Source organism: Homo sapiens, chromosome 2 (assembly GCF_000001405.40).
Source record: "Homo sapiens chromosome 2, GRCh38.p14 Primary Assembly".
In the NCBI taxonomy this organism is placed as follows: Eukaryota; Metazoa; Chordata; class Mammalia; order Primates; family Hominidae; genus Homo; species Homo sapiens.
In genome coordinates, this window is record NC_000002.12 from 187,388,956 (window position 1) to 187,415,117 (window position 26,162).

General features: G+C 34.0%; 1 protein-coding gene and 1 long non-coding RNA gene across 9 annotated transcripts in view, besides 3 other annotated features; one reads left to right on the plus strand and one right to left on the minus strand.

The window, feature by feature from the left end:
* The window catches only part of CALCRL-AS1 (CALCRL and TFPI antisense RNA 1), a 544,253-nt gene that overhangs the window by 385,683 nt on the left and 132,408 nt on the right, over positions 1 to 26,162 (plus strand). The window lies entirely within an intron of this gene.
* CALCRL (calcitonin receptor like receptor) overlaps positions 1 to 26,162 on the minus strand; it is a 106,289-nt gene that overhangs the window by 46,992 nt on the left and 33,135 nt on the right. The gene's annotated exons all lie outside the window — the stretch shown is intronic.
* Positions 15,593 to 15,793: a silencer, noted in NCBI's record as "peak3980 fragment used in MPRA reporter construct". NCBI's record gives its function as "represses an SCP1 promoter by STARR-seq MPRAs in K562 erythroleukemia cells {active_cell/tissue: K562}" and the evidence as "EXISTENCE:reporter gene assay evidence [ECO:0000049][PMID:32103011]".
* Positions 16,533 to 16,733: a silencer, noted in NCBI's record as "peak3982 fragment used in MPRA reporter construct". NCBI's record gives its function as "represses an SCP1 promoter by STARR-seq MPRAs in K562 erythroleukemia cells {active_cell/tissue: K562}" and the evidence as "EXISTENCE:reporter gene assay evidence [ECO:0000049][PMID:32103011]".
* Positions 19,790 to 20,568: an enhancer, noted in NCBI's record as "OCT4-NANOG hESC enhancer chr2:188273472-188274250 (GRCh37/hg19 assembly coordinates)". NCBI's record gives its function as "activates a minimal SCP1, AML or CMV promoter by ChIP-STARR-seq in primed H9 embryonic stem cells {active_cell/tissue: H9 hESC(primed)}" and the evidence as "EXISTENCE:reporter gene assay evidence [ECO:0000049][PMID:30033119]".

The window sequence follows — 26,162 nt, forward strand, 5'->3', positions numbered from 1 at the left end:
ACTAAATAAATGATTGATTAATAGAGATTTAAGGATTCTTTCTGATGGGCTAATTTCTTTCTCATTGTCTGCACTTTATAAATATATCATACTTTTCTCTATTACTTCTTCTTCTTTTTTTTTTTTTTTGAGAAAGAGTCATGCTCTCGCTCTGTACCCCAAGCTGGAGTGCAGTGGTACGATCTTGGCTCACTGCAATCTCCGTCTTGCAGGTTCAAGAGATTTGCCTGCCTCAGTCTCTCGAATAACTGGTGTTACAGGCGCCCACCACTGCGCCTGGCTAATTTTTGTATTTTTAGTAGAGACAGGGTTTCACCATGTTGGCCAGGCTGGTCGCAAACTCCTGAGCTCAGGTGATCCACCCGCCTCCGCCTCCCAAAGTGCTGGGATTACAAGTGTGAGCCACCGTGCCTTGCCTCTATTACTTCTTTAATAATCACTAGTATGTTTCTTAGTATGAATGAAGATAGATAGTAACAAGTTAATGTGGCAAACTCAACCATTTTATCCCTAAATATATAGAAACCAATGAAGCAGAGCTCACATTTCTGAAGTTATCACATTTTTCCATCTAGAACTTAAAGTATAATTTATATTAGAAAAGTTACAACAATATCCCAAACCAGCTAAGCATAGCAACTTTTTTTTCAGATATATTTTATTTTAATATTTGGTCATAATTTTTTTACAAATGTTTGTTGTTTTTTATTAGATGGAGAAACTTACATCAATTTTCATTTTTTCAGGATGGTGGGGACACTGGGTAATCTAACTGAATATTTTATTTAAGTAAATTTTAAAGAACTAAAGTATGGCAAAAAGCCTTTTGAATTAAACTATAGTTTGATCTTCCTTTGATTAACTTTATCTACGAATTTATTGGAATGTATGATTATTATTAGTAACGTATCTATTTCCCTTGCAGATATGGTTTCATATCTGATTTATCTTTGCATCCTTTGTGACTGACAGTTAACAAATGTTTACCATATACATGAATGAGTAAATGAATTAAAACATGAACCAGTAAAGTACTTTAGGATCCTAAAGTCACAATCAAGAACACTGATCATAACTACTAATTGTAATTTATTTTATTAGAAAGTTTTAGACAGTGTTTGAATATGTACTGACAATGAAAATTGTTGGGATGTTTCCTATATCTACAAGTCTACTTTCTTACAAAATAAAATCCTGAAAACTATTCAGTTTTGAATTTGTGATTACTTAGATGTTAAATAAACAGTAGTTTTCTGTACTGCATTTGGAAGACATAAAGGTTAAACCACATTTAGGGCACTGTAGTACATATTTAAGATATTAGTAGTTCATATTTTTCTGAATAAAAGTATATATATTTAAATATGCTAGTAACAATGTAAATAAATATTATTCTATGTAAAAATCACGTATGTTTTACAAAATAATTTTTTAATGATTTACGCATGAGTCAGGATTAAATTACCTTTAATATGCACATGAACTCCAAATATTGAGGGGCAAAGTGCTTCAAAAGTCATGTCTGAAGGTTTTCCAAACCCCACATATTTGAAACACATTTCATCCAACATTACCATTATTTTTGTTGCTTATCTAATAGGCTTCAAAATCAGAGTTCCAAAAAGTATCTTAGTGAAATATCTCTTAGTGGTAACTAAATCATCCTGACATCAATAATTAAAAAGTATTCAACTCACAAAATATTTATTAATGCAAATAATTCCACTTTTATAGCTTTCCTTCTTTACCCTATTCCCTAATGATCTGAAAATTGTGCTACTAGGAATAAGGTGGTATTTTTCACTGTGTAAACTTGTGTATTCCTAATCAAGGGGGCAGGTGTATGGCCCCTGGGTTTGTCAAAGATAGAGCAGCAAGTTTAGGTTAGCAGCCATTCAAACACATAATGGGCACCTGTACACTCCATGAGATCTAGCAATGACCAAATCATTTGGTAGTGCAATTCACTTGAGTCATCTACTTTGCAAAGGACCTATCAAAGTTTCCTTGCCAGCAGACACGTGGTGAGAGGTAGTTATGGAGGAATCATCCCTTTCACCAAGAGGTCTCAAATTCCATAATAGATGAATCATGGCAAGGCATGTGCATAATGCCATTGCAAATATAGCTGAAAGTCAACTTAGATAGACTCTCATACTGGGAGATGAAATGATGACATTGTTCTCAGGAGAAGTATGTTTAACTGTAATCCTTGGTTTCAGCTCACTGGTTCTCTGCATACTGCCTCTAATTGGCTGATTCAGCAAGTACTTCTCTCTATATATTTAGCTTTTTCTAAATATATCTTCACTAAAATACAATTGATGCTAGTTAACCAAAGCTGTTAAGCAAATCATTTTTAATCTCTTTCAGATCTTGTTAAATTATTTACTGATAATTGAACTGCATGTTACATCATGAAATATAATAGTTTCCTTTTAATTTTGAGGACAGACCAAGCAAATAATGAAAAGAGGTCAAGTTAAGTGATTAAGCCAGCCAGAGAATTTTTCCATATGTTCCAAGGTTTGTTTAGTAGGAAAAGAACTTCAGAGTTGTGAAAGCTCTAATTTATACTGTTAAGTAAATTTGTAATCATATTGGCACTGCTAGTTGTTACTGGCATTTTCTCTTCAAGAGCTGCTAGTCTCATAGTTTCTATAAGTACTATTTTATTTTCCTTTTTAAAAATTAAACTAAGTGGTTTATTACTGGAAATGAGATAATTTTCTTTACTATGCAAAAAGAATTTTAAAAGCCCTTTATTTCAAAATGTTTTCCATGCTTTGGCCCCCAATATCTTCAATATTAAAATAAAAATGATATATTTCATCACAAAAAGAACTGTGAAAAATAAAAATGTCTTAAAATCTGAAATACCTTTTGAAATATTACTGCCTAGTCACTCAAAAATTTATGTAACTTACAATTCTGGTTTAATTTCTTAATATATTATACATCTACCAAGACAATTTTCCCAAATACTTAAATTTTAAGAGGGCAATCTTCTTGACATGCAATAGTGTAAAAGCATGTTTTATTGTACATAAGCATTAGAAACCAATGTGACTTAATCAATATTTATAAGAACACAAAAAAACATAAATCCTGAACATGCACCAGTGCCTTGCAAGCCTATTTCTTATTTTCTAAAATGTGTATTATTCCTATACATACTTTCCATTAATTTATGTTTCTTTATAATAATTCTTATTTTTCATTGAGTCACCTAGCCCTAATATTGAAAGTGTATGTTCACTCCAACATTAAGAAAAATAATAACCTAATCTTTTGTTTCTGTACTTTTGAAATAACTTCGATTTTTACAGGCTCTAAACCATACTCTGTTTTTCATTTATGTATCCATTCACTAAAAGTTGGCTAACAGAAGTACTTTCTACACATACTTAATTTGCCATAAGGTTCACCCACCTGAACCTTTGTGTGAGCAAAGTTGAGCTATGTCCTATATATTATATTACATGCTTTCCCTTACTTATGGCATATTAAACAAGCTACATATCTCTTGAATCAAAACAAGGAATAAACACTCTACTCCAATCGCAGAGTTCCACACCTGCATGGCAAATGGAAACTTATTTCAATCATTCTACACAATCTAAAAAATGTCAAAGTTCAAGAGCCTGGTTAACTTATTTTTCTCACTGCTTATTTTTGGAAAACCTAAGTCTTTGTGCTAGAATTGTTGTTGCAAGTTAATATCTTTACTTCCAATAGAGTCTTTTTATTATTTATTATTATTTTTTTAGAGACAGGATGTCACTCTGCCCCAGCTGAAGTGCAGTGGTACAATCATAGCTCACTGGTGCCTTGAACTCCTAGTCTCAAGTAATCCTCTCACTTTGGTTCCCCGAATTGTTGGGATTACAGGCTTGAGCTCCTGCACCTGGCCTCCAATAAAGTATGAAAAAGAAATTCCAGTGTAAGGTTTTAGTGCCCACTTCAACCTAGCTTGGAATGTCACTCACACTTTTAATATATAAAGCAGTTAGTGAAACAAAACATAAAGAAGCTTTACTTTCCTGAAGACATGTTACGGATATAAGATTATAACTCAAGCTGTATGTCCTCTTTAGGATGTCATTTGAGTCATGCATTATTTTTTAAGCTATTGAGTGAGCAGGTGCCAAATCACTGATGTAGTAAACACCATGTCCTCAAAGTGTGAGGTTGTGGGCCACCTGCATCAGAATCACCCCCAAAACTTGGTGAAAATGTTAAAATGGCCAGGCCCCACAAAGGACGCTCTGGAACAGAACCTTTTGGAGAAGAATTTAGGAACCTGCATGTTTAGTAAGCACCCAAGTAAATTCTTGGCCTGTTATACTTGGGGAAGCACAATATAAATACTTCATCCTCACTGGGACATGCCGAAACCTGAACACATTTGTATTTCACTGTTTCTAGTTACTAGCCAGACTATTTTAAAAGCAACTATAAAGTATAAATCAAGCAAAATATTCTGCAGTGTTCCCAGGCATTATTAATGTCACAGAACTCCCAAAGCAAGTTATTCAAATATCTATTTTAAAACATACCATGTAATCTTATAATTATTTCTTTATGTGTCTCTGCCATGAGATTGTGAGCACAGTAAGAATAGGGCAGGCAGCATATTCATCTCCGGGGCTACACACCCTAACAAAGTGATCACATAAAGAGGGTATACAGAAAGTGTTTTTAAAGTAGATTGCTTATGAAATAAATTTAATCAAGTTGAAGAAACCTGATGTTTTTAGTTATTCCTAACCCTTTCAAGCCTATTATAATTTTCTGAGTCATAAAAAAAGATCATTGCCTCGATTCTACTCCAAAAATTTCTGATTCAGGTCATCTTGCTTGGGGACCAGGAACAAGCATTTTTTCAAGTTTCCCAGGTGATTTTAATATATAGCTAGGGTTGAGGATACCTGGAATAGATAGAAGATTCATGTGGTAGGCAGAATGATAGGCATACAAAACTTTCCATGCCCTATTCACCAGAATCTTTGATTACAGCTATGATTTAGGTTATGGATCTTAAAATAGAATGATTGACCTAGGTTATCTTGAGTTATCCAGGTTAGTTGCAAATAATAAATTGAGCTCTTAAAAGAAGAAAAGAAAGGGTGAAGGGTCAAAGAGATGCAGCACAAGGGGAAGCAGAAAAGATGAAAGCCTGAGAAAGAGTTGATTCCTTGTTGCTGACTCTGCTGTGGAGCCCACATGCAAGGACTAGAAAGTGGCCTCAAGCCAGCAAGGAAATGGGGACTTCAGTCCTACAACCACAAGGAATTGAATTCTGCCAACAACCTGAATGAGTATGGAGGCAGGTTCTCCCCCAGAGTCTACAAAAGGGAATGCAGCCCTGCCATTACTTTTATTTTGACCATGTAACACTTGAAACAAAGAAACAAGCCAAGGCAACAGAACTGACCAATAGAACTGTGAGATAGATAGTAAATAAATGTTGTTTTAAGTTACTAAATTTATGGTCATTTGGTACAGCTAGGATAGAAAACTAATAAAAATCCTTACCTGACAAAAATTACATTTTTTTCCATCAAACCAAAGTAGTAACTCTGCTTCCCAACTAGCCAGTCATTCCTCTTAACCTTAACAATACATTCATCCTCCTGCAAGACAATCCCATTAGCTAGAAGTGTTTCTTCTAAGCTGCTTCTAAATTGCTGTGTAATTTTAAGAAAATCAACTCAACTATTTTCTGCTTGGTTTACTCAACTAGATAATGAGTATAAAACTTGATCGTTAATTGAGCTTCCTGTTTTCTGTTGCATACTTATTAGAAGACACACACTAAAGTCAAAGAAACATATCTTTAATGCCAGTTCTTATACACTTAAACTCTCTCAACCGATTTTCTAACCTGAAAATTTGCATAAAAGTAGTGGCTGTTTTTAGAAGGTTAATGTGACCAGTAAATGAGATAATGCTAATCAATGCCTGGCTAAATCAATGTTGCCTATAACTTTTATCATAGCTCACCTTGTCGGATTATTTTAAGTGTTAAATTACATGCTAGATATAAAAAACTTGCTTAATAATAAATACACAATAAGCATTAGCTATTGCTATTTTCTGTATCCCTCTATAATTCTGTTAGTCATGGCAGTAATCATGTTGACTGAACAAACCAGGCAAATCCAGCATGCAAATTGTGACTTGGCCAAAGTCACAAAGATGCTTAGGTCTGACTCCAAGCTCAGAACTCAGGTTTTCTGACCTTAAATTTCTACCCTTTGCCCTGTATCATACTGACTCGGACAATGGAGTTGTTTATTTGCATAAAGTGAAGGACACATTTCTATTTTGCTTATTCAGTTATTTTGCTTAACCACCAGTTTTCTCATTACATGTCACTTGTACTCATCAAACACATTTATACTTTTTCCCAACAATTTCTTCTTTTCATTCCTCTTCTTAGCAATGTCATATTCGATTCTTTTACAAAGCTTACATTAATAAATGGCTTGACAACTCATACTTGCCATTCTGGCAAGGTCCCAAAATAAAAACACATGTACTGTCTCGTTTTCTAGCACTTTAAAAAATGCGTTTTAAATGAAGAAAACTTCTTCTAGAAATTAAATTTGTTACCTTACCCTATTTATTGAGCATCTACTTTTACCTAGTTTGGTAGGGTGAAGGTGGTGAGATATGTTAAGATTTCTGCCCTCAATAAAAGTATTTATCAAGTTGAAGAACAGTATTCTACTGCTTTTGAGGCTTACTTCATTGATTTCAAACACTCTCCATGGAACTCATTCATGAGGTTCTAGCGAGGGATGATTTTATCAACATTTAAAACAGGAAGTTAGTGTCTTCCTCAGTCCCATCTCTGTCATTCATTGAACCTGGGCAAATTCCATGCCTTCCCAGGTGTTTCCTACTCATCAAACAAAGCATTAGGGTAAAAGGATTAAGCCTTGGGTAAGAGTTCAAAATTTATATGAAAAGAAAAAAATGATTGTTATACAGAAACAGTTTTTACTCCTAGTAACCTAAAGCCAAAATAGCCTTAAAACCAAATCTCTCCTGACACTGTTTGTTGTTGTTGTTGTTGTTGTTGTTGTTGTTTTTCCTGTGGCTCAGGAAGACTTTGTGTATGTCTCCTACTACCTAATAGCTCACGGGAAAAAGTGGACCATTTGGCTAATTTTTCTCTCATTACATGAGAATTCAGGGAAAACATATCTAGGCCAAAAAAAATAAATAAATAAAGAAAAAAATCACTTATCTTGCTCTCACCTCTTCATATACTGCCTCTTTTGAGCTATTCTTACTTTTGAAAGGCCATTCAAGAAACGTCTAGTTCTCTCTTCTCCACTGCAGAAAGTCCAAATTAGAAAAGCAAGCACACTTCTTCATTAGCCCCCTTTCCAGATGTCTCAGAATGGAATCTGGTAAGTTCATGTACCCTAAGCTAAACTTATTACCATCATCATTGGAACAGGCTTAATGCTTATAGGACTAGAAATTAACATTTTCTGAATTTTGGCTACATTGAGTTTTTATCTTCTTTGCATTTAAGAGAAAATCACTAAGCCAAGACTTTTAAATATGCAGAGTAACAGAAATTATAAGACACATTAAAAAATGATTCAACAATGTCTAAACTCAACAAAGTAATTTAAAAAAAGAAAATTATTACATTTAAGCCATTAAATTCCTATGGATGACCTGGTATAGAAATTGCCAATTTTTAAAAGTCATCAAAAACTCTCATGAAAACTTCTAGAAAGTATTTTATTTTTGAAGAGATGCCTAAATTTAATTGTAACTATTAAAATCCACATTAAAATTCATATATAAGGAAGTATATATTGTTAATATCGTCTCACTGGTTAATGATACAGTTTTTCTTTTTCCAAAGAGATACTGAAATTTTTAAAGTAGTATCCAACTGATATTTAATAATTCACATAATGAAGGGATGATGTCTAATACCAGTTACAAGTAGAAACAGTAGTTGTACTGGTTATAAATATGAGTTAGACTTCTTGTTTTTAAAATCCAACTCAGTCACACACTAGCAAATTAAACAACTTCTTTAAGAATAGTTTTCTTTTCTGCAAAACAACTCCTACACCAGAAAGCTATTGTAAAATAAAATTAGATAATACAAACTTCTTAGAATGCACTAAATATGACTTATTATACCACATTAAAATTTTTGTAAATATAAGTAAGCTTATTATACATATTTTCATTTATTTGCCGTAATTTCAATAACACTGTATGTGGAAAACTGACTGTATTTCAAGGCGGTGGTCACATGCATCTTGAGTTTTTTTTTATCTTCTGCAGAAATAATGTGGTTGTTTTTTATTCTGTCATTTAAGTAGTTATGAAAATATCAAATAAAGTGAATTGTAAGTATATTCCCAGATAGGATATCAATCTAGTTAATATGACTGCACAATTACTAATACTGAGCCTATATATAACCCAAAGCTCTAGCAAATTTTTTATAACATTGTAATCAAATATGGACTTCTTAAAGAATATAATGCTAAGCCAATTAAAAATAAGACATAAAACCTCCCAAATTTTACTTTATTTTTTTGTTTTTTATTTGTATAAATTTAAGGGTTATAAGTGCACTTGTATTGCATGAATATAGTGCATAGTTGTGAAGTCTGGGCTTTTAGTGTAACCATCACCTGAATAGTATACATTGTACCCATTAAATAATTTCTTATCCCTCACCCCAGCTACAACCCTCCCACCCTTCTAAACCACCAAAGTTTATTATTCCACACTCTATGTCTTTGTGTGTACATTGTTTAGCTCCCGCTTATAAGTCAGAACATACAGTATTTGACTTTTTTAGTTGTTTCACTTATTTTAAATTGGTTATAATAGCCTTTCCTAACACTGTACTGGAACAACAAAAGAAAACATTGACCCTATGCTTACTTGCTTATTTAATGAACATTCCAGATTGAACAGTTGAATAACTATTAAAGAGAGATAATTTTGTGATTAAGTTTGGGACTTCACTTTACACTGTAATGTACTTACTCACGGGACTGATTTTCCCATTGTGGGCATAATTAGCCATTTTCCGGTGATTTTAGTCACCCTCTTTTTATTTGAAAGAGGCAAGCGGCCAAATCTCAGCCCAATTAGTAAAAGGTGGAAGGGAGCCTGAAAAAAATGCTTTGTACTTGATGGAACACTCTCCCTCCAGGAGATCTAATATGGAAAGAATTAATTGCTCAAAGAGCACTGAAACAAAACACATCTTTCCAGCTCTTTGGAATGAGAGCCTTATACTTATTTTCCTTCCACAAAGTCAGGAGTCAAATGCTATGTGAAAACATGTCTTGTTTTGTTTTTCCCACCAACAATAAAATCAGAAAATATATAATTCTGATATAATTTTAAGTTGCATACCAGTCCATAAGCAAAATTATGATATTCTTGTTACATTGAGCTTTCCAATCATTCTCAAAATAAAATTTATATGGCACCTACTAGCACATTCCAACTTTTAGGAGGTAGAGGAACTCTGTTGATACTGTCTGATTAGCACATCTTCTTTATTGCCCTTAATAAAATGAACCTTTTTCCCTATAGAGAATCCATTCTCTCTGGTTCAAGTAAGACCTCCCTCTTGATCACTGAAGTAGGAACTGATTGAAATCTGGTCAGACTAGCACAATCCTCTGATTAAATTTAGCTTGGTCATGGACATGTGTGGTCCAACCAACACCACTGGAATTCTCCCTGGGACATTTGTATTGTTGTTATTAGGGAAGCTTTTTCTTTCTGCTGGGGTTGCAAAGCAAGTAGGGCATGAATATCAGACGATTCTCATGCATCCTTCCTATCATACAGAGAAAATGTTAAAAAATGTGGTCAAGTGAAGGCAATTAGCTGAGATTGAGGATTGGTGGAGAATCCAATAACATTAGAGCCCTTTAATTTGGCCGTATTTGAAGGCAGATACAATTCTAGAAATCCTCACAAATTAGCCATTAAATTACGTTTTATGCCTAACTGATTTATTTGGAGCAGTGTAGTGGAATAATCACTATGTGTGGAATAAGAAGGCTCCATTTTGCATTCTGATTGTGATTGAATGCCCTGAATATTCTTAGGTTAGTCACTTTGCTGGGTCTTCGTTTCCTGACCTGTAAAATGAGATGGCTTCAAGCACCTTTTCATCTTGTAATGTAGATATTTACAGATTGTTTTCTTTTTCACAAAAGAAGAACATCATCTTTTACACCCAAAGCACATTCCATGCCCAGCAAATAGGAGTTCAAAACTGACTTTTTTATCCAAATACATCTACGGAGTAATTTTTTTCTAAAGATGAAATAGTCTTAGCAGTATATGCTCTTGGATAATCCACAACTAATATGTACCTATGGCGAGATATTCATACCCAGCTCAAAAAGTAAATGCAACTCTTAGATGAAAACATAAGGGTAAAATGTTTGTCACCTCGGGTTAGGCAATGGCTTTATAGATAGGACATTGAAAGCAAAAGTGACAAAAAACAAGTAAATTAGATGACATATAAATTATAAACTTTGTGTTCAAAGTATACTATCAAGAAAATGAAGAGACAGCACACAGAATGGGAGAAAAAAATTGCAAATCACATATTTGAAAGCGACTTATAGCTAGAATATACAAATAAAGCTTACTGCTCAATAATAAAAAGAAAAACAACCCAATTAAAAAATGGGCAGAGAAGATATGGAGTCAATCTGAGTGTCCATCAGCAGATGAATGGATAAAGAAAATATGGTATAGACACAAAACAGAATACTATTCAGCCATAAAAAAGAATGAAATCTTGTGGCATCATGGATGAGCTGGAAGGACATTATGTCATGTGAAATAAGCCCAGAAAAGAAAGATGAATACTGTATGTTCTCACTCATATGAAGAAGATAAAAAGTTGATCTCATAGAAGTAGGGTAGAATGGTAACTACTGGAGTCTGGGGTGGGTAGCAGGGAGAGAGTGATATGGAGAGAATGGTAAAAGAATACAAAATTACAGCTAGATAGGAGGAGTAAGTTCTGGTGTTGTATAGACTATGGAGTAAATACAGTTAAAAATAATTTATATTTTCAAATAGCTAGAAGAGAAGATTTTGAATGCTTTGAACACAAAGAAACAATATAAGTTCGAGGTGATTGATATGCTAGTTACTCTAACTTGATCACTACACATTGTATGTATTGAAATATCACCCCATAAATAGGTAAAATTATTATGTGTCATTTTTTTAAAAAAATTGATGGGCAAAGGATCTAACAAATACTCAATAAGCTCATGAAAAGATGTTCAATATTCTTAGTCATTAGGAAAATGCAATTCCAAACCATAATAAAATACCACTTCATACCCACTAGGATAGATATAATAAAAAAGAGAGACAATAACAAGTGTAAGAAAGAATACGGGAAATTATAACCACCATATATTGCTTATAGGAATGTAAAATAGTGTAATCATTGATAAACACCTTAGTAGTTTTTCTAAATGTTAAACATAGAGTTACTATATGACCCAGCAATTCCACTTTTAGTTATAAACTCGAGAAATAAAGACAGATATCCAAACAAACGCTTGCACACGAATATTCTTAGCATCATTTATAATAATTAAAAAATGGAAACAGCTCAAATATTCATCAATTTGTGAATGGATAAACAAAATATGATATATTCCCTATAATGAAATATTATTTGGCAATAAAGAGGAAGGAGTACTTAATGCATGCTACCTACAGCATGAATAAACCTTGTAAACATTATGCAAAGTGAAAAAAGACAGTAAAAAAAAAGAAACATATTATATGATTCCCATTTATACGAAATATCCAAAATAGGCAAATCTATAAAGGTGAAGGAGCTATTGGGGGTTACCTAGGACTCAAGGAGTGTGGCAATAGAGAGTGATTGCTAATGGGTACAGGGATTTTATTCAGAGTAATGAATGTGTTCGAAAATGATAGTTGTACTACCTTGAGAATATATACAAACCATTGAATTGTATTCTTTTTTCCTTTATATTTTAGGCTCAGAGGGTATATGTGCAGGCTTGTTACATGGGTGTATTGTGCAATGCTGAAGATTGGGCTTTTAATGATTCTATTGCCCAAGTAGGGAACATATTGAATTGTACACTTTAAGTGAGTGTTCTCATGAAGTGTACGGGTATAGCTTAGTAAAGCTGTTTTTAAAAAAGTAAATGCCAAAAGGCCATGTGTATCTAAGGAAAGACTTAATGCTGATCATTTAGTCTTCTCTCTCACCTCTCCTGCCTTCTTTAGTTAAGAGACAGATGATATTCACATTGTAAAACAAAACACATCGACCAAAGAACCTGCCTAGCTAACACAGCATATCATGCATGTAAACTCTGAATTACTCCTTCAGTTGGATACATTATTTCATATTCAACAACAAATTAATTCTATTTTATATATATAGAACTGCTTTGATTTGAAAAACATACATTTTTCTTGAAATTTATTTTCAACAACTAATTTTTAATTCATGCACAAAATATTGTCTTTCCTTTGATAAATAAATTTAAGTTTATAAAAATAACCATTGTACATAGTTGAGGGAAAAGATCTATATACATACTTAGAAAATTTCCCTTAATTTTAGATAGGATCTATAATTGTTTATCTTTTTCTCCTGTCAGTGATTTCACTTTACAGATTTTAATTTCTTATAGGAGTGGAGCACTGACAATTTACAAACAAAAATGTAGATATTTTATTATATTTGTGATTTCTGATATTTTAATTGTGTTATTACAAATAGAAACATCAAAAATACAAGAGAAATATTAGCAAGAAAAAATGTTGAACTTTGGTTTATTCTTGGAACTTGACCTAGGTTAGAAATTTTACATCCTAACTATACTCCTTCTATGGAGCTATTACATGGTGAAAGAAAACTAAAGATGGAAAAAAGAAATCAAGGAAAGAAGGAAGGAAGAAAGGAAGAAGGGAAGGAAGGAAGAAAGGAAGAAGGGAAAGAAGGAAGGAAGGCAGGAAGGAAGGAGAGAAATCAATATGTGTATCTCAGGTAAATGCACACTTTAAAAATTGTTATTTTTATTAAAAGTAAATAAAATGTTGATATACTAAAATTTGTTTCTCTGGTGTGTCTCAATTTCTTACAAATACTAGATATAACTCCATCTTAGTACCTTTTACTATATTAATACATTCATTCATTCAAACATTTATTTAAAACCTCATATGTTCCAAAAGTTATATTAAGTTCTAGGGATCCAGAAATGCTAAAAATTTCTGTTTTCAGAGATACTTAAAACTTTGTAGGAGTAGAATGATATGTACAAATATGAGTAATAAAGTATTATAGGTACTCAATTAAATTTTATGTGTCTAATTGATCAGCTGGAATGATGCATTTTACATGGAGGAAGTATGTTTGTGAGTGTGTGTGTGTGTGTATGTGAGAGAGAGAGAGAGAGACATCTACGTAGAGAATATGATACTTTTCTGGAGTGTGGACATACCAGGTGCTTGAGAGATGCAGGATACATGAGATGAGAGATGAGGCTTTCCAGTAAGACAGAAAAGCAGATTAATGGTACTTTCTGTTGTACTGAGGAGTTTTGATTTAATGCTCTAGGATAGATATTTTCATTTTGAATATCTACTCTGATTTGCTGGTAGTGGCAGCCAGAACTGCTACACTGAGCAATGTTAAAGTTAATCTAGTCCAGTGAATCAGAAAGAGTCTCCTGAGTCATTAACGATGTCTGCCATGGCAGCATCCTGAGAAGGAATGGCATGTATTCCATATATTTGCTAATGCTGTTGCATAAAATGAATAATAATTGTAGGAAAATTATGCAGTAGAGCCATATGACAAAATTTTCATTTTAGAAACATGAAATATGATGGTATTTGGAGGTGGGGCTTTTGGGAGATAATTGGGTTTAGACGAAGTGATGGGATTAACATCCTTATGAAAAGAGAAAGAAAGAGATAGGCAATCTCTCTCTGCATGCACCAAGGAGAGACCATGTGAAGATACAACCCGGAAGAGGGCCCTCACCAAGAATCCAACCATGCTGGCACCCTAATTTCAGACTTCCATGCTCCAGAAATGTAAAAAATAAATGTTTGTTGTTTTACCCACCAAGTCTATGGCAATTTGTTACAGAAGCCTTAAACTGGTATGATGCAGAAAAATATTTAAAAGAGTTATTTTAAAAGGTTTCGTGTATAAGGATGTGAGAGCTTGGCAAGTGCAAGTAAAGTAAATGGATTCCTGAAATTCAATCATGGGTATCTGAGTGGGTTCCAATCACTACTATAGAGAATACCATAGAATAAAATGGGTGGTGGGGAAATACCTGAGTGCAGTTCTCACATCTTGAAGAAAAAATTGTCCAGGAGGGTTTTTCTGCACAGTTCTGTAGATCAGCAAAGGAGGGCCTTGAAATAGAAGTTTCACGCCCATCGTCATAGGACACATTTGCAGTTAAAGAAAGGTGACATTTTGTTTGGAAAGGCAGTATGTGCTAAAACATGTATTGGAATTGAATTATAACATATTTCAAAACATTCGTGTTTAAGGAATTCAAAGTTAGTAACAAGGTGAACTGGATAAAGGGCAGAGTTTGCTAGGTACAAGGAACTAAAAGTACAAAGGCATGGGTACAGAAGTGAGTGCAGCTGTGTAACTAGAGGTAAAAGGACAGGCCTGTGAGAAGCTTGAGGTCTCTGGGGAAATTAATAAGTGGAAACCTGGAAATGTGACTTCAGTCATTTACTAGACAAAGTACCATGAACTGCTGTAATTTTACACATACCAAACGCAGCTTATTTTTAATCATTTACTCCTCTGACTAAGTCTGGGTTATAATTTAAAAATAGATCTTCCAGTGTAAAAGAAGTTGCACAGGAAGGAGATCCTTGCTGAATTAAGCTGTGCTTAAGTGAGAACTGCCGCTTAAGAACAACACGTTCCCTGTGAAAAAAGATGGCAAATCCATTTCAGTGAGCCTAACCTTTACCAAGTGCTATTATCAACTCAATTGTATGTTTTTTCCTGTTTCACAAACATGTTCCCAAAAGACTTTTAAAATAGCTTTCTTTCCTGCTAAATTGTTGTGCCAAGCACTTTTTCTGATTTGCACCCTTAACTGGACCAGGATGTGTTAAAAAAAAATGCCCCGTCATGCTTGACAGAGTTTAATAGACCTTAACAACAACAGCGAAACATTTTCCTAATGTGACTGTCCCTCCCTCACCGAATCTTAAGATGGTGCATTTTTATCAAAATATAAAATACCCTGAAGAAACTAAAGAAGCAATAGTGTCTTAAAAAGTTACTCTATTAAATAAAAACATCTAGTGAAAAATCTGTCCACCAAAGTAAGATTTTGTTTTCCTAACAAAGAGAAAAATGTCACTACAGAAAATAAAGTTTTTTATAAAAGTTCAAATCATCTAAAAAATTAATGATATGAAATGGTTCCCTAGGTATCTTATAAACACTTTTATTTATTTTTTTTTTTTGTAGAAAACACAACCATAACATCCTGGGGTCTATCTTGGTCATTTCAAAATGAATCCCATGCACTGCTGGAGTATTTTTCTCAAACTGCAGCTTGGCTCGTAGTTTACCGTGTGTGTCTGTCTTTCCAGTGAGGAGTTTCCTTACTAAATTCTTTCTGAGCTGCAATAACAATGGCAATCTCAAAAGAAAAAAAAAAGACGACGAAAGTAAGTAAAAAAGAAACAGCATCTGATGGACACTGGTGGAGGCTATGGCTAGAAAACTCACATGAATGAGGCTTTCTGGAGCAGGAGTCAGTATGGGTATCTGAATAGTATGCTGCTTTAGACAGCAGATAACAACAATGAAAAATAATAGCAGTAGGGACTTGTACCAGAGGAAAAAAAAGATAGAGCAGTAGGAAGCGAGACACAGGGCAGAGAGCACAGGTTTCACACGGAGCGACTCTGAGTTTGGATACTAGGGTTTGGATACCAGCTGTGGAACTGCAGTATTTCCTAACTGGAATGCAGGCAGAAACCTAACCTGTAAGCTTTACCTTCTGTAGCTCTAAGATGGGGAAATACATGTCTCATAAGTATATTGTGGGGGTTAAATGTAATAACCCACACAATTCCATATCACAAGGACTAGGAAGTGATAACTGCTAAGTAAGTGGTGGTCTCTCCCCTGCAGCAGAAATGGAATGTCTTGGTTTGGTTTAATTGGCCTCAGTTAGAAGACTTATAATTTTGAGTAAAATTATATGTGAACATTTAACAATGCCAACTTTCCCAGCTTTCTGTAAAGGAGGCTTTGTGAGCTCATGAACACATGGTAGGATTTTAACATATTTTAGCGTGAATAAGGATGGGCACTGTCTCCAAAATCACTTGTTTTCTCACCAATACTAATTGTCTCTGTATGCATAACACTCTGCTTTGTTACGGAGTACCTTTTAAATATATATTAACCTTCCCTTCTAAGAGTGGTAATAAACACCAGTGTTAAAGTCTCATCTTTTCTCATCATCCCGAGGACAGTATTGTTAAGGAGGTGAAGACATTTATGTCTTGTCACAAACACAGACTCTAAAATGACTTGTGTATTTGCATTATTACTCTTGATTTGTATTTGTTTCATCAATTCCTAGAGGAAGAGCAAAACCAGTGAAACTGAAGGTGTGGGATTCATTACCTGGAATTAGCACTCGGTTATTAGTTGGAGATAAATTTGTGCAAGGAGATAAAATGCAGACGGCTGAAACAGTAAGAAAGAAAAGCTTGCAGCCAGCAATTAAGCTTAGCAGAAAGTTTGTTAGTTTGGAGGAATGGCTGCTGTGTTCCTGAGATACTTAGTATGCAATAACTAGGGAAATCACTTAAGAAGTTTTGTCCTTATGAAGTACTTCCATTGGACTATTTAAGTCCTGTGTGTGTATACCTGTGTTGTCTGTATGTAGGGGTGTGTGTGTGTGTGTGTGTGTGTGTGTGTGTGCATTCACATGTGCATATGTTTTAACCATTTGGGACAAACCAATGTTGTGTCTGTTAATATAAAATAGTACCAGTGTGGGGCTCTGAAGCAGTTGGGCTTTATCACCTCACTCAGAATGACTTGTCAAAACTTGACACCAGACCACCAAACCACCATTCCCAACCAACACAAAACAAACCAAACCAAACACAACCAAAAAAAAAAACACAAATCTGATATGTTGTATGTGAAAAACATCAGTTCATCATCTAAAATTATTGTTTAAGCTCAAGAGCAACTCAAATAATTTCTTGGCTGTAATATTGCATATATTTTGTTTTAACTCTATTTTATAAAAATTATTTGTAAGCAAACGTGTTCCTTGAAAAAATGGAAGTAAATGTACTAGTGTAAATGTACAGAATATTCAATACACATGTCAAATTTAAATTTCTACTAAAATCGTCATCATAAAACATATCTTAGGTGAATTCTGTCTCTGCAAATGTAGAACACCAGTTGCTAAGAAAAAGGGAAAGGCAAATAAATAAAGAAAATAAAAGAAAAGGAAGCATTGAGAAGTCTAACTGTATATTTTTATTTTTATCTATTTTTATCTATGTATATGTTATTTTTATCTATGGTCTTTGTAACTAACCATTCCTGGTAATGCTGTGGTTGGTACTCAAAATAAAGATCCAATAATTGTTAGAAAAAAGATGTGGTTTGGTCACTTTTTGCTGTGTACATATGAGAAAGAGACAGAGACAGAGAAAGAAAAAGAAGACAGAAGGACAGTCTTACTTGGTTTATTTCCTACTAGAATAGGAGTGATGGAATCAACATTATTAAGTACACACAAATTAAAAACTGAAAAATCTTTTAGATGTATGCAGAACAGAATTTTGGAAAAAATGGAGCTATTTTGTACAATAACGCTAGTAGTGTTTGTGAAGTCTACCATCTATCTTTTTAGGACTTAACTATCATTCCCAAAAAACCTTATTTGAACTCATAACTTCTTTAGTTTCGCTCCACCTTATGCCTACAGCACAAATAGGCTGAATGTGCCTTTTGTATGTGCCTTCTAACAGCACACTATCACACTAGATAAAGTTACGTCTGTTTTTGTTTTGTTTTCTTTTTTATCTTCCCCACTAAAGGTAAAAGCTATTTGAGGGCATTGCCTTTTTAATCATTGGGATTCCCCAAGGTATTGTCTGGTATTCATTAATCTTCATAAAGTTTTTTAATGAATAAATACATGAAATAATTATCCATTACAAATATGCATCCATAGTGATGATAATTAACATTGTTTTATACTTTACGAAGTCTGATCACAGTAAAACCCACATATATTTAGGGAGAATAAAGACTGGTTAAGATAATTTGTTTTGTCTGTTTGTAAAGTAAATAAGGAAAAGCACTTGAACTACTCAAAGGAAGTGTTTTCTCACATTTTTGAAGAAAACAAGCAAAAAAATAGTAGGCAATAATAATATTGTGGCAGTTAAAATGGGAACATTGTAAACAATTTCAAATGAATTATTTCTTTTAATTCAGAAATAATGCATATTCAAAATTTTAGTAGTGCATTTTCGCCTATTAATCTTAGAAATTTGTGCTGACATTGACTTTTATATTACGAGAGAAAAACTTCAATTTTAATAATACAAGAATGAAAAGTCTTTGGGCATAAGGTAAGGACTGCTGTGCAGTGAAAGATAAATATACAAAGCATTGACACTAAATCTTTCCTTAGCAACAAGTACATATTTAGGTAACATATTGCATTTAAAAAATTCAAATAGCACTACATTGAATATGAATAAATCCAGGTTCTAATTTTAACTAAACCTGGGGATTACAGAGGAGACTGAAGTGAGGCTGGTTCCAGCAGCAACAGGTGTGATTCTAAGACTTGTTTTGCATGGTGCATTAAGCTTTGCTAATGTTCCCACCTCTATATGTTAACTTTGTTTCTGACACTAAGCAAACTCTACATAGTTTGAGCAAAATCACACCATTTATCTTTTGGTGGCCTCAGATTATTTTTATTTAATTTGTAAAATAAGATACTAGACTAGATTCTCAAGGTCCTTTTTGTTCTTTAATTCTATCATTCTGAGGGAAAAAATGTCATTACTATTACATCCAAGACATATATATTAATATAAATACATTAAGTATTGAAAGCCAAAGTTAAAAAAATAGAAAACCTTTTCTGGTTAATTTACTTCAGATATACGTGAAACAAAATATTACAGTTTGCAACACAGTGCTATTTTCATGTTTATTTATATATTTATGAAACATTTTTGGATTTTGTTTTCAGCTAGGGTGAGGTTTTTCTTTCTCCTTCCAATCCCTTATTAATAAATGAATAGGGCAACATTCTCAGAAGCATGACAGTATATATTAAAGTTTATTTAAAACATTATTGAGAAATAGAGAATCTAGAAATAAAACCCAATGATGTTTAATATGATGTTCATAAAATTATATTATGTACTACATATCTTTCCTTTAAAACATTACGATGATACAGAAGCCTAAATGCCTATTGCAGAAATAAATAAATGTATTTACTCTAACCTTGTGCTAGAGTCCTCTGTTCTGTACAGAAATTAATAGTAAATAATAAAACCCCCTTCTATGGCTGGTTTTGTTTTTGCTCTTGGGATAACTAAGGATTTTAATTTTATTGTAATTTATGTACAAATTCTCACATCTCAGAAAACCTACCAGGAAAATTTTAATGAAATAAATTAAGTAATTTAATAACTGTACAGTGGAGATAATTATATTCCAGCCAGAGTTAAAAAATAGCTACACCAAGAAAAATAATATTTATAAATGCAGTTTTTTAATCATTTTTATTCCATTCTCCTTTTCTCTGTGCTTTCTATAGTCACATTGTGCTGTATAATATTTTATAGAAATATAGAACTTGCTTTTTCCTAAAAATAAGTAGCAATTACATTTTAAAGGGAGCATGAATAAATTAATTCAGAGCACATAAAATGTTCACAACTACTCTTGGTTAGAAGTCTGAAGTCTTTCCTTCTTCTTCCCTTTCTTTCTTCCAACACTGTAACAGTCCTTGTGAGCTTTTTGTAAAGAAATCTTTTACATGTGAATGCAGTTAATTGACTCCCTTTACCAAATAATGATGGATAATAGCCTTGGTCTCCCTGGGAAAGTGTTTACAACATCAAGTCATTTTTTTTCTCCTTCCACTGGGTCAGCCTTTCAAATATATTTGCTTTGATTCGGGGAATAACCTTAGTAGGGTGTCAGGATTTCTCTCTGGATCAATAAAGGAAACGTTATTAAGATCTAAACATCTGTCAGAAGATATTTATGAAATACTTATTTTCTGATATTTTCTTTCTAAAATACTAGGCTCAAATAACTGTAGGCAAAAGAAATTTGGTACAAAATATTTGAGTTTATAGAAATGTAAGTTTAGTGCCATGACTGCATACACCATTGAAGACAGCAACTGTCCAAAGCATAACCTGCAGTGAAATTATTAAATGTCATGCTGTACCTTGGAAAAGTTTAACTTTATTCACACATTCAACAAATGCTTATTGAGCCACTGGTATGTGCCTAACACTTGGCTGGGTGTTGGGAAAATAATGGTGAATAAAAGATTAGATGCAGGCCCTTGTGAAACTATAATAGGGGAGACAGGTATTAATCAAATATTCATACAAATTCAAAATGACAAGATAGTCCTATGAAGGAAGAAGATGACCTAATCTGGAGCATTAAGGATGGTTCCCCAGAGGAAATGGTATTTTACTCACTTGATATCTGAAATTTGAGTCCTCATCGACTAGGGAAAGACTGGAGGTGGGACAAGGAGAGTGATTTGGAGGGATGAGAAAAACATAAGCAAATGCCTTCTATGGAAAGGAATGGAGGGCAGAAGGCAAGGGAGAGAGCTGTGTCAGGTGAGGCTGTGGAAGATGCAGGGACCACACTAAGCAGGGAGTTTGATGACTTGTTAAAGACTCTGGCCTTTGTCTTATTACACTGGCAAACCTGTGTTTTCAGTAGCTGACCAGAAAATAGGTGGTTTAGCACTGAGCAACAAAAATCAGAGAGAAATGGGTTAAGAAGTGAGGGTGAAAACAAGAATAAGGAGTTCCTTTGAGATTTTGGTTTTGTAAAGTCAGAAAATGGGGTATAGTGGTGGATGTGGGAGAATCTGTAGGGTAGAAAGAAGAGTTTTGTTTTTGAATGAGAGTGACATGAACATTTTAAAATATTAATGGGGGATCCATTTGAGTGGAAGAGTTTCAATGTATTAAAAGACATCACAGATATTCAATTTTTTACCAAATTGGAGGAAATGAGGTACAAGGCAGCAATGGCAATCTGTTTTACAGAAGAGAAGAGATATCTGCCCTACTTCACAAGTTGAGAAAGAAAGAAAAAAAAAAGGACACTGATTCTGATAGGCTTATAGGTGTGGAAATATGCAGGTGAGGGAGCTGTATTCTGTAAACCTCTTGTTTTGAAGCACTGGCTGTTGAGAGAGAAGGGAAATATGAAGTGGGTGTTAGGGTTTTGTAGAAAGAACAGAAGGTTTGAAAGCCTGTTTTAGACAGTGGAGGAAAGTATTGACTAAACCAAGTAGGATTTCTTTGCAGGGAATAAACTGGTTTGAGCTAAGTTTAAAGTTTGCTGGTGGGTGGGTGTAACATCAGTTCCACAGCCCACAGGGGAAGAATGTTAAGGATGAAGAAGAGCTGAAGGTGGGATCAGGGGATCATGAGGTACTATGGCTCAAGACAGAGGTGCATGTGGGCCTTGATAATCTGTGCCTTTGTACTTTGGGATGAGAGCATGGTTGAGGTAGTCTCAAGAGGCTCAAAGTGTGTGTGTGTGTTGGTGTCGGGGCAGGGGGCGGGGAGAGGTAGGTGGGGCCACAGGATTTAATGGGATTTAAATATTTTATCTAGTGCATTATCCTTCCGACTTTTATATAAAAGAATAAATAAAAGACTCATTATTTTGTCTGGTGGGTGACAGAAGAAGGAATTGCATGAAATAAAAATCAACTTCAATTACTCATGAAAGCTTTAATAGTTGGAAACCTTGCTAAACAAATTTTCTCTTTTAAATGGTACCCTTTTTACTTCTTGAATTCAGATCTCCCTAGAAATACTGAAAGAAATGTACTGAAAGCACATGGAGAAAAAAGACAGTTGAGGTAATCTTAAAAAAATTAATATAAACTCTATCAAAAGTTGTAATAACTTAACATTATGTAATATCTCTATATAACTATAAATAAGACTACTGTAAATACTACTAAATTGATTCTTGTTCATGAGTGTATGTACTAACCATGCTGATAACATTATCTGCTACACCTAAAGAGTTTTTAGGTGAAACAGCCTCACACATTGCTATAGTTGTTTAGTCAAGCAGATCCCGTATCCAACAGCAGCAATATATAAGGTAGCAAATGACCCATGGTATGATTTAGTGTTACAAGGATGAATTTGAGCCAGTTTAAATCTCTTTCAAAATTTTAACTGAGAAAAAAAAATTATTTAGTGATGGATCATGAAATGGGATACCTAGATAAATGCTAAGATGTAGAATCGGTGTCAAAACATAGGATAAAGGATACAGAATCAGGGCCATTAAATATTATGAGGTATTGTGACAGAGACAGGAGAAGCAGATAGAAGGATAAGCCAGGGAAGTAGGGGGTGTAGTAAAAAGAATTACATCCTGCCTGTAATCCCAGAACTTTGGGAGGCTGAGGCGGGCGGATCACGAGGTCAGGAGATCGAGACCAGCCTGGCCAATATGGTGAAACCCCATCTCCACTAAAAATACAAAAAATTAGCCAGGCGTGGTGGCGGGTGCCTGTAGTCACAGCTACTCGGGAGGCTGAGGCAGGAGAATGGCGTGAACCTGGGAGGCGGAGCTTGCAGACTGCACTCCAGCCTGGGCGACAGAGCGAGACTCTGTCTCAAAAAAAAAAAAAAAAAAAAAAAGAATTACATCCTGTGTGCAGAGAAAGAATTAGCACCTTTCTAACGAGAGGCATTAAGGACAGAGATGCAGAGGAGGAACAGGGATCTGGGACAGTAATGGCACAGGTTTAATGGGAGTGAAGTTACTGAGAAGGTCTGCCTGCATCCTTCCAGTTTTAGAATTGAGTTTCAGTCTGCGTGAGATACTGCTCTAAATCTTTCCTGATTTTCAGAAACATTCTTACATTTCCTATTTCCACTAGTCAGGATAGCTTGAACGGGTGTCATTTCTTAAAATCCATAGTCTGTGTGGAATGTTCATTATTTTTCTCTTGAAGTGGCCCAAAGACAAGAGAAATGATCCACAGGGTAGACTTGGAACTGAGTACTGAAAAGGGGGCTCAAGAGCATGGGCTCCAGTCTCATTATGGCATCTGACTTGGGCAACCTTTGCAAATTCGCTTATCTCTCTGACTCTTTTCTTTCCTCATCTATGAAGTTAAATATTTAAGCGAAATGATTTCTGTCTCCCTCTAATTCTAACTCTTTCTGGTTTCACACGGAAAATCTGTTTATTGTATTAAGCAGATCTTCATAAAATATATGCCTGTATCTGGAATTTAAATCATAGACTATTATCTGAATTATTCAAGCTAAGGGCAGCCTCTGCTTGACATACTATTTTAAAACTTTTTAAAAAAATAGCAGGTGGAAGATACAAGTGTGAAGAGTGAGAGTTGAATCAAGCCTCAAGGCCTTAAGGCTTAATCTAATACAAAATGGAATATTTAAATACTGTAAATGGCTTTCAGGTTTTAAAGCCTAGGACATCTCAAAATATTTGTCCTTTGGTGACTAATTCCACATATATCAATAACTAATTAGTTTTTATTGATTGTTTTCTCTCAACTGGTCCTATTATAGTTACTATGGATCATAAATATGCTTTGTTGATTGTTTTCTCTCAACTAGTACTATTAGAGTTGCTATGGATCATAAATATGCTTTGTTCTCTGCAAACTTTCAATTTGTGAGGAAGACAACATAAGCATAGTAAGCATTCAATTTATTGGTATATAAGGATTTATCTCTGTACGTTTTCAGGGAAGGAATTATCAAAGAAGGCTGGAATGCTTAGGGTTATGGAAATAGAAGCTCCAGGGAGAGGGGAAATCTAAGCTTGCCCTTAAAGAAAATGTAGGAGAAAAAGAGACAGAGGGAGAGAAAGAGAATTCTAGATAGAAGAGGTAACATGAGCGAAGACAAAAGACAGGGAAAAAAAGAGTGAACATCACATGGGCATAGCACTTACATCTGAGGATTTCAACAAGACTGAAACATTCATTGTTTTCTTTGATATCATATATAATTATATGTGATAATTATCAGCTGTTATATTTTAAACCTTGTAAGTGAATCACTATTTTTATCTGACTGTTGCTCTATCTATAACTGTTATATATTTTACCAGTTAATGTAATTATATCTTCCCTCCCATATGAGAAAAGCAAGAGAATGCGATAAGACTATAATAGAAGACATTGTAATTTACGTGTCAAAAAGACAAACCTAGGGGAAGACTAAGTCCCCAGCAAACGATAGAAATGATTCTTTCATTTGGCAATTCTTATAGAAAAACTCTGCAAAGTAATTGTTAATGGCGTGACCTTGAAATAATCCTCTTTATTTAAACTATAACTTGTATGTTGACAGTACAAGGGCTGGCACACAAAAAACTGTGATTTATATTTCAGTAGATGTAAAATACCAGAGAGGGAAATCCAGAGTTGCTTTGGTCACATTTACATCTTAAGGGAAGTGAGAGTTATTTGGCATTTGCAAAGACTGGAAATTTGCTTCTAATTATGGAGCTGGACATTGATTGAGGCTGTATTGTGTTAAGCTATGAATGTAAACTGAGGCTTTCTCTGTGTCTATGTAACTTGGGCAAATTATTTTACTCCTCTAGACTCAATATCTACATAAATAAAATGTGGATAATAATATTATATTTCATTTTATATCCTATATGTGACTATTACTTGACATATTGGAATGAGGAGAACTCAGAACATTTTCTGGCACACAACACTCAATAAATGTTAGGCATTACTATAATGAAAATTTCATATTGGATATCATTACCTGTCATCTAACAGGAGGAAAGGAAAGCATCATATCTAAATTGGGACAGCAACATAATAAATATTTTATTTATGTACATATTTTATTTGTAGGCCGGAAGCTTCTGTCTATCATGTTTTATTAGGATGTGAGTATGGGAAAGGCATGTAATTAGAGTTGCCTAAGAAAGTTAATTTGCAAATTTTTATCTAAGAAAGTTTCTGAATTTCTCAATAGTAGTCAACCCTACTCCATTCTTAATTATAAAAATAACTTTAAATTTAAAAAGTATAAATGCATGGCCACATTTTAAACCCATCACTCACACGTCTTAATGTAGGCAGCAGCATGTCATCCTGAATTTATTTAAAATTCACTTTGCATTAAGAGGAGTTGTAATTATTAGCTGCCAAGCCTGGAAGAGATTGAAAACATAACCTTTCTTTTTCCATAATATAATAATGCCTAAACTCAAAGTATATATGTGAATCTTGGCTAAAAAATGACATCTGACTGGCATCCTATTCATGATATGCCATCTTCTATCTTTATGCCAAATATACAGTGATACACAGAAGTTGAAGAAAAACTTATGGAAATACTGACATTGAAGACAAATTTTCCTAGGACTGTAGAGGCATTCTTATTAATGTGAAACTGGACTAAGAAACAACCAGTGTCTACCCACCAGACAAACATTGGCACACACATCATCCCAAATTTACTATTTTCTTTGAATCTCAGAGAACTGAGCTGTGCCACCAGAAAATTATTTTTTTTTTTTTAAAAAAAAAAAGGTAGTCTCTTTTTTTTTCAAATGTTTTTCCCCCATCCATCCAGAAAATGAATTTCCCAGAAAACAAGAAATACATTTTCTTTGTTGATTGATTTAGTTGGTTAGGTGTGGTCACTGGTGCTGTCACAATAATCTCTGTGGTTAAATGTTAATCCCACAAGTCAAAGCCAGATAGGCAAGGAATAAAGTAGCAATATGTTAAGGTTCCTGCAGGAAG